The sequence below is a fragment of the Homo sapiens genome, chromosome 16 (assembly GCF_000001405.40).
Source record: "Homo sapiens chromosome 16, GRCh38.p14 Primary Assembly".
Taxonomy (NCBI): Eukaryota; Metazoa; Chordata; class Mammalia; order Primates; family Hominidae; genus Homo; species Homo sapiens.
Window position 1 is genome coordinate 23,870,476 of NC_000016.10, and position 16,519 is coordinate 23,886,994.

General features: G+C 43.9%; 1 protein-coding gene across 3 annotated transcripts in view, besides 1 other annotated feature; it reads left to right on the top strand.

Annotated features, from left to right (window-relative positions):
• The window catches only part of PRKCB (protein kinase C beta), a 384,629-nt gene that overhangs the window by 34,493 nt on the left and 333,617 nt on the right, over nt 1–16,519 (top strand). The window lies entirely within an intron of this gene.
• Nucleotides 11,317–11,446: an enhancer, noted in NCBI's record as "active region_10592". NCBI's record gives its function as "activates an Ori minimal core promoter by ATAC-STARR-seq in GM12878 lymphoblastoid cells {active_cell/tissue: GM12878}" and the evidence as "EXISTENCE:reporter gene assay evidence [ECO:0000049][PMID:35858748]".

Below are 16,519 nucleotides of genomic sequence, written 5' to 3' on the forward strand. Positions count from 1 at the left end.
GCTAGAAAGAGGCAGAATTGGGGCTTCAAGTCAGGTCTGTTTGATTCCAGAGGCAACATCCTAAAGCAAAGTTTCCTTCTAACTGCTCACTTGGGACTTTTAAACGAAGCCATTAGGTGCTTCACTTTCTTGTGGCATGCCAGAGTGGTAGCTGCTTCAGGGCATCAGCCTGGGGCCACATCAGGACCTACCTGCACGTAGGTTGATCAGGACCCTGGCAGGGCTGTCAGGTACAGCCACAAAGCAAGCTGTTTCTGACTGTGTTCCCACACTTTCTCAGGCATCCACCCTGGTGTATGAATTTGCTTCTTCTTTATAACAAACTACCTCTAAACTGCACTCTAGTCTACAGATCAGCTGGGCAATGCTGTTGATCTCGGCTGGGCTTGCTCGTGTGTCTTTGGTCAGCTAGCAGGTTATCTGGGGCCTGATTGGTCTAGGATGGCTTCACTTGCACATCTGGCACTTAGATGTGTGTTAGCTGGAGCAATAGGGGGCCTGGACCCCGTGGGTCTCCTTTTCCAGCAGGCCACTTGGGCTTGTTCACAGGGCAGATGGGCCCAGTTCAAAGGGTCTGAGAACACAACGGTACTGCAGGATGAGCTTTGGAACTGCTGCACCGTCTCTTCCACTGCATTCTGCATACGGGCCCTAAACAAGTCCCAAGCCTTCTCAGATTCAAGACATGGGGGATGGGCTGTATCTCTTATGGAGAGAGTCACATAGCAAGGGTGTGGCTCTAGGGAGGAATGAAGAGTGGTCAAGTGCAGCCTGCCATGCTGGCTCCTTCACCAGCCTGTCAGTTATATGAGCCAATGGGCTGAATCATAGTCATCTTTCTCTCCACATGCCTGGCCCGTGAAGGATTTGCCTGCCCAGCAGAGACCGTGGAATGAATGTGTGCTCCAGGCACTCTGCCTTCTCTCTCTTCTTTGACTTCTCTAAGCTCGTTCCTGCCCCTGTCCCCCTCTGTCTCTCTTCCCCAGGATCATGGCATTAGTCGGATCCTTCCCATCATTTTCATTTTAGCTCCAGTATCACCTCTTTGAGCCTTCCCTGACTACCCTTCCAGCATTCTCTAATCCCATCACCTTGTTTTTTTTATCTTTTCTTTTTTTTTGAGACGGAGTCTCACTGTGTTGCCCAGGATGAAGTGCAGGGGCACAATCTCGGCTCACTGCAACCTGTGCCTCCTGGGTTCAGGTGATTCTCTGGTTTCAGCCACCCGAGTAGTTGTGATTACAGGCATGTGCCACCATGCCTGGCTAATTTTTGTATTTTTAGTAGAGACAGGGTTTCATCATGTTGGTCTGGCTGGTTTCGAACTCCTGACCTCAGGCAATCTGCCCAACTCAGCCTCTCAGCCTCCCAAAGTTATACAGGTTTTTTTTTTTTTTTTTTTTTTAAATCTTTTCATAGCATCTGTAACTGTTTAAAATATTAGTTTGACTTCCTTTTCTAGAATGTAAGCTTTGGGAGAGCGGGGTCCTTGCCTGTCTTGTTCTCTGTTACTTCTCCAGCTCCCAGAATGGTGGCTGGCACTCAGGGGGTGCTCAACACACATAATTGTCAAGAACATGCTACATCAAGGCCTGAGTGGCTTTGCCACGGCTCTTCTTGTGACTGCAGGCCTTGGTGCCAGCAGCCACCCCAGTTCCAAGAAATGGTCTCTTGCTGGCCAACTTAGCAGGAAGAACTGGCAGCGTTCCTGTTACAGCACTTCCAGGTGGCTGCTTTTCCCTGAGTCCATGTGGCTTCTCCATGTCTCTCTGTTGGAGTCACAAGTTGTGGAAATTCACTTAGGCCAACTTAGACCAAGAAGTGGAATAGTTAATAGTTAAATGTCAGTCTGGGCAACATAGCAAGACTTCGTCTTTACAAAAAATTTTTAAAAATATTAGCTGGTGCGGTCGTGTGCACCTGTAGTCCTACCTACTCGGGGGGCTGTGGTGGGAGGATCGCTTGAGCTCAGGAGTTGGAAGCTGCAGTGAACTATGATTGTGCCACTGCACTCCAGCCTGGATGACAGAGCAAGACCCTTTATCTAAAAAACAAGAAAAAATTAATAAATAAAAGTTAAATATAAGGTCTCTGGAGGTATCCTGTTTGGGTTCAGATTCTGGCTCTGCCACTTCCTAGTTGGGTCACTTTTGGGAAGTTACTTAACCTCTTTGTGCCTCAGTTTTTCACCTACAAAAATAGAGCAAAGTGTAAAAATATGAACTACCTCACAGGGTTGTCAGGAAAACTAAATTTTGTGTATGGAAAGCACTGATTGCTGAGCAGATGGTGAGCATCTCTGAGTAGGAGCTCCTGCTGCCATTATTATTATTATTATTATTGGAGGTTATCATGTGTGATTGAAGAGCAGGAACTTCAGCTGGGCTTCAGGAGCAACTGGTTAGAAAAACGGAAGACTTGGCCCGGCGTGGTGTCTCATGCCTGTAATCCCAGCACTTTGGGAGGTCGAGGCGGGCAGATCATCTGAGGTTAGGAGTTCAAGACCAGCCTGACCAACATGGTGAAACCCCGACTCTACTAAAAATAAAATAAAAAATAAAAAAAAAATTAGCTGGGTGTGGTAGCGGATGCCTGTAATCCCAGCATTTTGGGAGGTCGAGGTGGGTGGATCAACTGAGGTCAGGAGTCCAAGACCAGGCTGGCCAACGTGGCTAAACCCCGTCTCTACTAAAAACACACACACACACACACACAAAAAAAAAAAAAAAAAAAAGAAAAAAAAAGTTAGCTGAGTGTGGTGGTGGGCGCCTGTAATCCCAGCTACTTGGGAGGAGACTGAGGCAGGAGAATTGCTTGAGCCTGGGAGGTGGAGGTTGCAGTGAGCCGAAATCGTGCCATTGCACTCCAGCCTGGGCGATGGAGTGAAACTCTGTCAAAAAAAAAAAAGAGAGAAAAAAGAAAAAAAGAAAAATGGAAGACTTATCGGGAATGCAGGCAGCTGTGCGATTTCAGCTTCTCTTTGTTTTTGGACCATGGGTTTTCTGGTTCTTCTTTGGTTCCTGCAGGTCTGACTTTCTCCTTTTTCTGTTGATGGTCTTTCTTGGCCTGTGTTTGCAATGGGTCAACCATGTGCTTTCTGGCCATACTTCACACTTACTTCCCAACTGGGACAGATAGCATTTCTTAAGTCTAATTCCAAACTTCTGGGATAATCTGATTGCCCTTCATTGAGTCAGAAGCCAGTGGATAGGGACATGGAAGATGCTATAGCTGGGCTCCACCCTTGCAGGTGAGAGGAGCAGTTTCAGGAAAGTCTGCCAGGCATGAGCTGAGACCTTAAGAGATGTCAGCTAGAATTAGCCACTGTCAGTATATCTGCTTCTGGGTCCCACTCTTCATCCTGCTTTTCAAGGTTTTCAAATATACACTCCTACTCAGTCTCATGAAAATTATTATTTTTAAAATACCCTTTAGCACATTTACCTCTAATGATACTAGATTCTTGCCTCCTGCCTCTGTAAATCACTCGGTCACTTCCCGATCTTATATTTGGCTGTCAAGAATGTGGAAATCTCACAGAACCCTTGAATTTCAAAGTTGGAAGGGAAAATTGCTTGTCTATGCTTATAAAAAATACACACCTACACCCACGTACACATGTATTTACTAAAATAGTATTAGGCTAAATATTCAGTTGTACAGCTTTCTGATTTCATTAACAATGTCTGTCTTTCCGTGTCAGAAGAGATAGACATTTGAAAAAACGGCAGCGTAGGATTTTGTTCTATGGATGAGCTAAAAGTTCTTTCACCTGTCCACAAACTTCCACCTAGTCCGTGTGCCTTATAAAACACAAATTCTGAAATCCCATGTAACGTGTCAGCTAGATTCTGCCTATCACTGAGTAGAGATGAACCATCACATCTCATGTTCTAGATTTGGGGTTACAAATTCAAATTCCTACAGGGGCCAGGCAACTGTCTTAGATGTGTGAAACGTCCTAGATATAAGAAATGCCTGTAAATGAAACCTTAAGAGTTTTTATAAGCATACAAATAAGTATGTAATATTTTGAAACATACTTATTTTTTGGTGTACCCACACAGGCCTAGCATCACCAGATTCTTCTCTCTTTTTTTTTTTTTTTGTTTTGCCCCAAGAGAGGCAGGAAATGAGTATATTTATGGGAGCTTTCCTAATTGTGAAGTGTTGGTAAGTTCATTATTTTTAAAAAACTAAAAACCAACTTGCAGGCCAAACAAAATGTGGGCCACCAATGTGTAATCACTGATGTAGATAATGCACTTCAATTAATCTAAAATCATCAACTATTTTGGCAGCCCTCTCAGACTGCTGACTCACTGAGCTTTTCATCTGATGAAATCCTTAAGTGATTCACAAATACTTAATCTGAAAACCTCTTAATCTAACTTGTGTTCCTGGACTTGTAAATTGGGTTTCTGGACCTTAATACTTGCTCATGTTAAATCCATTCTGTTACTTATGTTTAAGGTCCTACATCTGTCTTCCAGCCTGATCACCCATCTTTTCAGCCATGTGTTGTTTTTGAATTCAACTCATTTGATCCTTTCTCTATGTCCTTTTTTTTTTTTTTTTTGAGACGGGGTCTTGCTCTGTTGCCCAGGCTGGAGTGTGGTAGCACGATCAGGACTCAATGCAACCTCGACTTCCTGGGCTTAAGCGATCCTCCTGCCTCAGCCCCCACAAGTGGTTGGGACTACAAGCACGTGCCACCACACCTGGCTAATTTTTTTGAATTTTAGTAGAGATGAGGTCTCACTATGTTGCCCAGGCTGGTCTTGAACTCCTGAGCTCAAGTAATCCTCCCAGCTCAGTCTCCCAAAGTGCTGGGATTACAAGCGTGAACCACCATGCCCAGCCTCTCTGTGTCTTATGATAAAAAAAATACTGGATGAGACAAGACTGAGGAGGAAGACCCAGGGACCCTTTTTAGCAGAGCTTACCAGCGGGTGTCCAAGGATTGAATTTCCCTTCCTAGACATGTTTTGCTTCAACTAAAAAGATATATATATATATATATATATATATGATGTATATCACACACATATGTGTATATCACACACATATGTATGTATATCACACACATGTGTATATCAAACACATATGTATATCACACACATATGTATGTATATCACACACATATATGTATGTATATCACACATATATGTATGTATATCACACATATATATGTATGTATATCACACACATATATGTATGTATATCACACATATATATGTATGTATATCACACATATATATGTATGTATATCACACATATATGTATGTATATCACACATATATGTGTGTATATCACACATATATGTGTGTATATCATATATATATATGCATGACCCATATTTAAAAGTAGGATATTTCATAACGAAATACCAGTATTAGGTATCTTTTGAAAAAGTGTCGTAACTGACAGCCCAAGTCTGCATTCCTTCATGGCACCAGGGCTAGAACTGAGAAGTAGCTGACTTTTTGGGGTGGATATGGGCTCCCCTAGTCATGCTATATGCCTCATTTTATGTGACTGGCCGGGCCCCATAGGCGTTTATGTTTGCCACTCTTTTAGAGGTCCCTTTAAGGTTGACATATATTCATTGATTGATCAACTCATTTACACACGCATGCAGTCATTTTTTGGACCCCTGTCTATGTGCTCTGCACAATGCGAGGTGTGGGATATAATGGTGACCAAGACAGATTCCAACCACTCACTCACAGATCCCACAGCCTACCAGGGAAGCCAGATATGGAACAATTATATACGTAATTTTACTTGTAAGTGCCACAAAGACAAATTGTATTAAGTAGTACCATGTGGCTGTGGAAGTTTAACTTGTCACTAATCCACCAAACTCTGAGAAGACAGCATATTTTCCGTCATTCCCAAAAGACTATCACAGGCAACATTGAGGAATGCTTTGTTAAACTCCAGGGATATATTCCACATCACACTTCCCCCGTCCACCAGATTAGCAACTGTCCAAGGACAAAACAAAACACACACTAAAAAGGAAATGGGGTTAGTCCGATATGTCTCCATCTCCTTATGCTGGTTCTTTTGTCTGCAGAAGCCACGGTTTCTTTTTCTTTTTGAAAAAAAAAAATGACATTTGCGTACCTCTCTGCGTTTCTCTTTCTCCAGGATTCTTCTGGGATCCTAGGCAGTGTGGTTTGGTGATCTCACTGGTGAGATCTCTTGGAGCCCTGGAATGCAATTCATCTGGGCCAGAAGAGTTGAACTAATTTAAGGACATCTGAGTGCTTCACTGATGTATTTGTTCTGCTCTGTCCCTTCAAAATACCACTACTCAAAACAATGTTCAGCTGGAGAAAGTGGTTAACACTGGAATTTTCTTTTTTTCTGAGACCTAAGTGACAGGGAAGGGTGGATGAAGGAAACATATCCTTTGAAAATCCTTTAGTTAGAATCCTTTGGTTGCAAGTAACATAAATGAACTCTGATTAATGTAAGCAAAAAAGAATTTGTTAGAAGGATATGGGGGGGGAGGGATGGACAGAGATGTGAAGGAAAAGATGAAGAACCAGGCTTTAGAAAGTCCTGAAACCAAATGAATTCTAGGGATCTAGGAAGCAGGGACTAATGACTGTTTCCTTCAGGACACCAGAGATGGGGTGAATAACTCTGTAAAAGATGCAAATTTCCCACCTGGGTAACATAGTGAGACCCTGTCCTTAAAAAAAAACAGTAGCCAGGCACAGTGCCTGTAGTCCCAGCTATGTGGAGGCTGAGGCAGAAGGATCACTTAAGCCCAGGAGCTCAAGACTGCAGTGAGCTATGATGGCACTGCTGCACCCCAGCCTGGGCAGCAGAGGGAGACCCTGTCTCTTAAAAAACAAATGCTAAATTTTAGAGAGAATAGAGAGAATCTTTTCTTAAAAAGGTGCTAAGTCTGGGGAAGGAGCTTCTGATTGTCCTGCCTTGAGTCACACGACCATCTCTGACTTGTTGACCCCTCTACAATCCCATATAAGACTCCCCAAGAGTAGATTCTGAGCAGGTAAAGCCCATGGGTGTTCCCAAAAGTCGGCCTCAACCTGAAGCCACTTATTCACTCTGAGCTCATCACCAATGGCATGCCGCACTGTCAAAACTCTCTTTCTGTGCATTTGTCTGGGCCACTCAACTCAGGAAAGTTAGTTGTTCTGTGTGAGTCCCCATGTTCTCACTGATTTCATTTCAGTCTTTAAGCTAAAAATCTGTGTAAATGGTAATGGAGAATGGCTACATCACACTTAGTATGTGTCAAAGCAGTATCCTAAGTGCCTTAGTGGTATCAGCTTATTTAAGACTGACAGTACTCTGAGGTGCAGTCACTTCTTTTTTTTTTTTTCCTTTTTTTCAAAACAGAGTCTCACTCCGTCATCCACACTGGAGTGCAGTGGCATGATCTCGGCTCACCGCAACCTCCGCCTCCCAGGGTCAGGTGATTCTCATGCCTCAGCCTCCTGAGTAGTTGGGACTACAGGCATGCACCACCACTCCTGGCTAATTTTTGCATTTTTAGTAGAGATGGGGTTTCACCACGTTGGCCAGGCCGGTCTTGAACTCCTGACCTCAGGTGATCCACCCACCTGGGCCTCCCAAAGTGCTGTAATTACAGGCGTGAGCCACCGCACCCGGCCTGTCACTTCTTGTCATTCACAGTAGTTATGTTCTGTAAAGTCACTGCAAACACTGAATTAATAAACACTGAACCATTGTTCCTAGGTGAAATACAAAGTTGGGTTCCTGTGAGCCTTTGGTCACAGCATTTTCATCCACTGATCAACCCGTAAGCTTATTCTGTGTGTGTTTCTGTTTAAAGACACCTTAATATATATTGTTGACTCATTAACATCTAACTCACTGCCAACAGCACTCCAACTCGTGCCTGATCAAAGCTTATATAACACACGCATGACACATCTCGGACTCCTTGCACTTAGGAACACCAGATAGCACTTCACCATTACCCTATGGGACCATTTTACAGCAACGTCACCCTCAAAAAGCAGAAAAATGGGAAAAAGCATGCTGCTAATATACCACAGAGAGAATGCTTGTTTACAGCATGAGAGCTGAAGTCTGAAGGTAGAACATGGTTTTGTTCATCCTCAGCTGGGAACACATGTTGGCTGACTCAAATATTTTGCCACTCCGTACATGTCCGTGAGTGATCATGAAAGAACCTTGAGTATGGATTTGGCGGTTATAAATAAATTTTAGCAAGAGGTGAATTTGCAAATAATGAGGATTGACTATAACCCCTGTTATTAGCTCTAGTTAACAGATGGGGGAATGGAGGTAAACAGCTCTCTGCAGGTCTTGCAGCCAGGGAGTGTAGAGGAGGCTTTGTCATTCTGGGTGCACAGCCTGCGTCCTTAAGAGGCAATGTAGTGTTGGCTGGGTGTGGTGGTGGTTCATGCTGTAATCCTAGCACTTTGGGAGGCTGGGGTGGGTGGATTACTTGAGGTTAGGAGTTCAAGACCAGGCTGGCCAACATGGTGAAACCCCGTCTCTACTAAAAATACAAAAAAATCAGTGGGGCGTGGTGGCACGCGCCTGTAATCCCAGCTACTCAGGAGGTTGAGGCAGGAGAATCACTTGAACTTGGGACGCGGAGGTTGCAGTGAGCTGAGAGCGTGTCACTGCACTCCAGCCTGGGCGACAGAATGAGACTCCATCTCAAAAAAAAAAAGAGGCAGTGTAGTGGTTGAGTGCAGTGTAGCTCCTGCTGAGAGCTGGTTTTCATGTTTTGTGGGCACACAGGAAGTAGAGAATGCTGAGAGCTGGGCACTGAAGCAGTAGGAGATATGGGAGTGGGAAAGTGGTTTTCTTTAGTAAGTCTGGGCTGTTTTCATAGCCTAGGATGAAGTTCAGCAATACTCAACCTTGAGGTTTTCCAGGCACCTTCTCCTTGACATGAATCTCCTGCAAACAGATGTCATAGTAATCTGGGAATAAACCTTTGTTGTTGGTCCTTTAGCTATCCTTTTTTTTTTTTTTTTTTTTTTTTTTTTTTTTTTTTGAGACGGAGCCCCACTGTTGCCAGGAGTGCAGAAGCATGATCTCAGCTCACTGCAACCTCCGCCTCCCCAGTTCAAGTGATTCTCCAGCCTAGGCCTCCCGAGTAGCTGGGATTACAGGCATGCACCACCATGCCTGGCTAAGTTTTGTATTTTTAGTAGAGACGGGGTTTCACCATGTTGGCTAGGCTGGTCTCGAGCTCCTGACCTCAAGTGATCCGCCCGCCTCGACCTTTCAAAGTGTTGGGATTATAGGCGTGAGCCACTGAGCCCGGTGCCCTGGTCCTTTAGCTTTCTAAGACAGCAGCATAGTAGTTCAGAGCATAGGCTCTTGGGCCATAGCTTCCTGAGTTCGAATCCTAGCTCTGCTGTTTTTTAAACTCTGTGACCTTGGGCAAGTCTTAACCTCTCTGTGCCTCAGTTTTCTTGTCTGCAAAATGGGATTAATAAAAACACCGATCTCATAGGATTGTTGTGAAAATCGAGTGAGTATGTTTATAGTGTTTAGGAAAGTTCCTGGTACACAAGACATGCTCTGAAAGTGTATTAATATTATTTGTCCTTAGACTCAGTAGTACTCTGGGGGAATCGAATCCCCACCCCTAAGCCAGGCAGCATGGTAGAAGCTAGGTCAGCTGGCAGGCTCCTGGGTCTTTTCCATTCTGCTGCAGGAGATGCCTGACTCACCTCTTGTGCTCACACAGATGACAGCTAAATAGAAGGGCTCTTTCCTCCTAGTATTAGCTTAATTATAGGGGCTCCCTAGAACAGTGGGGAAAATGAGCTTTGAGAATCCCCCCACCACACACACAAGGCCCACACTAGCACCTGAAAGAGGAGTGAACATTGCTTCCTGCCTCCTTCTCCCCCTCCTTCTCACATATGCCTTTGTCTCTGTGATTCTGCACGTTTAATTTTTAATCCCGGGATGGGTTCTATTAGTTTTTGTGTATTTTCTCTGCCCTGGTTTGAGCTCCAAAAGGTCTGTTTGGGTCTCTGTGGGTGTCTGACAGCCTCTGCAGGCCTTTCTGAATTATATAACTCAAGCTTTGTATTTTCTATTTGTTACTGGGGGTTCTTTCTGTGCTATAATTTTACTCTTAGAAAATGAAGTAGGGTACTAGAATTTTCTCTGGGATCCCCTAGGGTTTCCTTCTGAATATTTTTTCCTGCCATATTTTCTTCGCTAAAACATTTTTTTTTCTTATTTCAGAAGCAATACATCTTCATTATAGAACATTACAACAAGATGCAGAGAAAGAAAATAATCTTATCAAGCAGAAATGTTAATACCTTGCTATCTACCCATGTCTCTCTGTCTCTGTCTCCTCAAACACACACAAATGGGGTCAAGATGACATAAGAGACTATCTGCTTTTCAATTCACATTTTACGATCTTTTTTTTTGTATGGTTCTGTAGTCTCCACTGCTTGGCTTGACGATCTTTAACAGGTGCCCTCCGGATGGTCATGGGGGTATTTTCCATTTCTCACTGTTACAAGCAGTGCTCTGATGAAACACCTTTTGCTGGCATTCCTAATTATGTCCTGAGAGCAGACTTCTAGAAGTTTTCAGCAGTGAGGTTAAAGGGAATGTTTGCCTCTCCTCTTCACTCTGTGATGCTCCTGGGGGCCCAGGCCCATGAGTCTCTGTGTCCATCTTCCCAAGATGAAAGACAAAGAATGGGCAGAGCATTGACAGGGCCCTGTGTTGACTCCTTTTCTCTCTTTTCCCAGTTTTTTTTTTTTTTTTTGAGACAGAGTCTCGCTCTGTTGCCCAGGCTGAAGTGCGGTGGCGCGGTCTTGGTTCACTGCTACATTTGCCTCCCAGGTTCAAGCAATTCTCCCGCCTCAGCCTCCCAAGTAGTTGGGATTACAGGCACTCACCACCACACCCAGCTAATTTTGTATTTTTAGGAGAGACGGGGTTTCATCATGTTGCCCAGGCTGGTCTTGAACTCCTAGCCTCAAGTGATCCACTCACCTTGGCCTCCCAAAGTGCTGGGATTACAGGCGTGAGCCACTGCACCCTGGCCCATTCCCGTTTTTTAAAAAAATATTTTATTCCTTTTAGACTATTTAGCCACAGTTTTCCATTCTATTCCTTGGGATAAGTGAAAACTTGATTTTTAAAAAATAATTACAAAATTTTAAAATCATGGTAAAAAACACATAACATAAAATTTACCATCTTAACTATTTTTTTAAGTGTACAGTATCATTTTAAGTACATTTACATTGTTGTGCAACAGTTAGGACTTTTCATCTCGTAAAACTGAAACTCTATACCCACTGGCAATAACTTCCCATTTCTTCCTCCCCACCGAGCCTCTGGTAACCACCATTCTGCTTCCTGTTTCTATGAGTTTGGCTATTTTAGATGCCTCATGTAAGTGGACTCTTGCAGTATTTGTCTTTTCATGGCTGGTTTCTTCCTTTTTTTCTTTTCCTTTCTTTCTTTCTTTCTTTCTTTCTTTCTTTCTTTCTTTCTTTCTTTCTTTCTTTCTTCCTTCCTTCCTTCCTTCCTTCCTTCCTTCCTTCTTCCTTTCCTTTCTTTCTTTCCTTTTTTTTTTTTTTTGACAGGGTCTCCCTGTTTCTCGCAGGCCAGGCTGGAGTGCAGTGGGGCAATCACAGCTCATGGCAGCCTTGACCTCCTGTGCTCAAGGGATCCTCCCATCTCAGCCTCCTGAGTAACTGGGACTTCAGGCACACACTACCATGCCCGGTTAATTTTTTTCTTGATTTTTAATAGAGACAAGGTCTTGCTATGTTGCCCAGGGTTGTCTCAAACTCCTGGCCTCAAGAGATCCTCCCATCTCAGCCTCCTGAGTAGCTGGGATTACAGGTGCACACTACCATGCCCAGTTAATTTTTTTTCTTGATTTTTAATAGAGACAAGGTTCTTGCTATGTTGCCCAGGCTGGTCTCAAACTCCTGGCCTCAAGTGATCCTCCCACCTCAGCCTCTCAAGGTGAAGGGATGAGCCTCCCAAAGTGAAGGCGTGAGCCATTGCTCCTGGGATGACTGGTTTATTTCACTTAGTGTAATGCCCTCAGAGTTCATTCATGTTGTAGCATATGTCAGAATTTTCTTCCTCTTTAAGGTTGATTAATATTCCATTGTATGAATAGGCAACATTTTGCTTATATATTAATCGGTCAATGGACATTTGAGTTGCTTTCACCTCTTGGCTATTGTGAATAATGCTGTTGTGAACATGGGTATACAAATATCTTTTTTTTTTTTTTTTTTGTAGAGATGGGGTCTCCCTATGTTGGCCAGGCTTGTCTCAAACTCCTTGGCCCAAGCAATCCTCCTACCTCAGCCTCCCAAAGTGCTGAGATTACAGGTGTGAACTACTGCACCTGGCTGAGACTCCACTTCCAATTCTTTTGGATATAGATCCTGAAGTGGAATTGCTGATGGTAGAAACTGTCTCGGGAAGATTTTTCTGGGGATTTGGCTTCTAACTGCACCACAGCTCCAGTGGAAACATCTATTCATTAAACTGGCATTTATTGAGGACCAGCTTTGTTCCAGTCACTGAACAAGGCTGGGGGCATAGCGTGGCTTACATAGGTCCCCACCCTCCATGGAGCTGATATTCAGCAAGAAGCCAGACAATACACAGGTAAGCAAATTGAAAAAAACAGGATGAGATCCACTGGCGATAAATGTCATGATACTGAATCAGGATTTGACAACAGAGTGATGTGGTGAGTGGCTACTTTAGATCAGAAAGGCCTTCCTAACTGGGTGACAGGTGACCTGAGAACTACAAGGTGGGGAGGAGCTAGCCACACAGAATTTGGGAAAATACCATTCTGGGCCCTGGGATGAGCAATGGAAAGGTCTTGAGGAGGAAAGTGGCTAGGCGTGATCCTTGTTGCTGGGGCGTGGTGGGTGTGGGGCCAGATCATAAGGGGCCCCACAGGATGAGCCTCTGTGCTAAGTGCAGTGGGAAGCCACTGGAGAGTTTTAGGTAGGCGAGATGCAAAGGATCAGATTTGTATTTAACACACCTTCCATTGGCTGCCAAGTAGAGAATGGATTGTTGGGGACTGGAGCAGAAGTGGGAGGATGAGTCAGGAGTCAATTGCAGATTTCTAGGTGAGAGATGGTGTCTTTGTCTGCACGGGCAGCAGTGCAGAGGGAGAGACACAGGCAGATTTGGGAGGTAAAAGGACTTACTGGTAAATGGGATATGAATTGGAAGAGGGAAGCAAATGCACAGCTGGGCACCTGGTACACTTTACATATGACGTCTTTGAACTTCGTAGCAATCCCATAACCACATTTTGTAGATCTGTGTTGTCCAGTAGAAATATAACATGAGCCATAAACCTGAGCTGTGTATGTAATTTAAAATGTTCTTAGCAATCACATTAAAATGGTCAAAGGAAACAGGTGAAATGAACTGTGAGAATGTTTTCTTTAACTCAGCATATTCCAAATATTCCCATATCAACATGTAATCAATATAAAATTATTAATGAGATATTTTACTTCCCCGCATAGCAAGTCTTCAACATTTGATATGTATTTTACACGTACAGCACATCTCAATTCAACCACACTTCAAGTACTCAGTAGCCACATATGGCTAGTGGTTACCATATTGGTAGCACAGTTATAGATGAGGAAAGAGAGTCTCAGAGAGTATAAGTTCTTATGCAAGCTTATAGAATTAGGACTTGAACCCTAATTTGACTCTGGCACCCGTGTTGTGCTCAAAGCACTGCATCCACCCCCAATGATGAAGACATTTTCAATGTAAGCAAAAGTCCTGGAGATTTCCCCACATCATATACATGGGGACATAGGAACTAACATTTGTCATATATTTATATTTTCCTTTCCAAAGCAGATCAACCCCAAGTTACCTTCCCTTAGCTCTCGTTTTCTGCCTCTCTTTGCAAATATCACTTCATTAAAAATTGTGAACATTCTCTTTGCCTTCCCTTATGGGCTTCCTGTTTGAACACCACATCCAGGGCACCCTGGGAACTGAACCATCTCCTTTTCTTTTTCTTTTTGAGTCAGGGTTTCACTCTGTCGCCTAGACTGGAATGCAGTGGTGTGACCGTAGCTCACTGCAGCTTCAATCTCTTGGCCTAAAACAATCCTCCCACCTCAGCCTCCTAAGTAGCTGGGACTACAGGAACACACCACCATGCCTGGCTAATTTTTTTATTTTTATTTTTTGTAGCTGCAAGGTCTCACTGTGTTGCCCAGACTGGTCTCAAACTCCTGGACTCAAGCAGTCCTCCCACCTCAGCCTCCCAAAGTGCTAGGATGACAGGTGTGAGCCACAATGCCTAGCCCATATCTCCTTTTCTTTTGTGGCATTCTAGTAGCCCTTTGGTTCATGCGATCATTTAGTTGTTCAGCAAATATGGATGATTGAATGGATATAATAGGTGCAGGGCACTCCCAGGTTCTCAAGATGGATGATCTTGGGCAAGTTATTTAATTTCTCTGGATTTTAGTTTCCTTGCCAGCAAACTCAAGATAATAGTAATGCCTACTTTTAAGTAGTTATTGTGAAGATTATAAGGAATTAACAATAACGATAATAATAAGTAATAATGATACATGTTGTTTATTAGAGCCTGCTATATGCCAGACACTAACTCTATGATTTAACCTTCTCCTGCTACCCTTTACTCTTATTATTTCTTTAGGAGTGAAATTCACTAATCATTAAGCTTTTTAACTAACTGAATCAATTCTGTTTCTTAAGCAGATGGGAGATCCTGTGGCTTTTTACCACTATCCACAGCTCTTTTTTTCTTTTTCTTTTCTTTTTTGAGACGGAGTCTTGCTCTGTCACCCAGGCTGGAGTGCAGTGGCATGATCTCGGCTCACTGCAGTCTCCGCCTCCCTAGTTCAAGCCATTCTCCTGCCTCAGCCTCCCGAGTAGCTGAGGTTATAGGCGCCCGCCACCACGCCCAGCTAATTTTTGTATTTTTAGTAGAGATGGGGTTTCACCATCTTGGCCAGGCTGGTCTCAAACTCCTGACCTAGTGATCTACCTGCCTTGGCCTCCCAAAGTGCTGGGATTACAGGCATGAGCCACTGTGCCTGGCCTATCCACAGCTGGTTTCCCCTCTTTGCCCCCTTTTCTGGCATTCTCTTCTGATTCACTCTCAACTCTGATTTCCAAGCTACCCAGCTCCTTCCCCTAGTGTGAATCTGTATTTGCACTGGATTTATTTTTAAATGGGAAATGAAAGCCACTGTGTGCTGGAAAATATATATTTCAGACACGAGGAAGCTGGCGGGGAAATATTTTTTGGATGTCTTTCTAGATCTCTTAAAAATCCTGTGAGCCATCACCAGGTTGATCTTGTAGTAAGGTGGCCTTGGCCTTAGTGTATTTCTTTTTGACTCGATATTGGGCGGCAGGAGGTTTGAGGATTGTGATACTAACAACATTAACAACAACAAACTTTCATTGATTGATTGCCATGTGCTGGAAATGTGCTAATAAATTACATTTATTTTCTCTTTGAATCCTCAAACCAACTCTTTGAGACAAGTGTGTTGTATTACAGCTGTAGAAACTGAGGTCCTAAGAGGTCAGTAGATTTGCTGAAGGTCACAGAGCTGAGATCCAAATCTAAGCATCACAGCAAGAAGTATCCTTAACCATCATCTTTGCTGTTGGTTGGCATTAGTCTGGCTGTGCTAAGAAAGTTTCCTTTGACTTGCAGATGGATCAAGGCTTTTCTTGAGAGAGGCTTCTCTTGCCTGGTTCTCCTTGATTCTTTTACTCTAGGAGACTCAGTTCTTCTCAAATCCCTGTCTGTGGGACTTTGGGCAAAACATTCAACGTCATCTTTACCTCTTAGAGTCACTGCGAGGGTTGGACTATGGTGTGTTAGGTGTTTTTTTTTTTTTTTTTTTTTTTTTTGATGAAGTCTCACTCTGTCGCCCAGGCTGGAGTGCAATGGCATGATCTTGGCTCACTGCAACCTCCGCCTCCTGGGTTCAACCGATTCTTCTGCCTCAGCCTCCTGAGTAGCTGGGATTACAGGCACGCACCACCACGCCTGACTAATTTTTGTATTTTTAGTAGAGACGAGGTTTCACTATGTTGGCCAGGCTGGTCTCGAACTCCTGACCTCAAGTGATCGGCCTGCCTTGGCCTCCCGAAGTGCTGGGATTACAGGCGTGAGCCACCGTGCCCAGCCGTGTTATGAGTTGAACAGATTTCTTGGCTTCAGCAGGGGCTCAGTATGGGCCTATCATCATTTTCATTTATCTCCTTTTATGCCTCATGCTCTATCTGTCCCCTTCATCTCTGCCTGTAGCAGCCACAGACCCTCTCTTTCCTTGGTGCATGTCCCTCCTTCCCACTTTCCTAATTTCAGCCTGACTTAGTTCTCTACCTGTCAGCTTGGACTTAAGGAAAGGAAGTTCTCTTTTCTTGGGGGGTCACTGGGGCCATGGGCGTCTTTCCACTCCATTTCTTT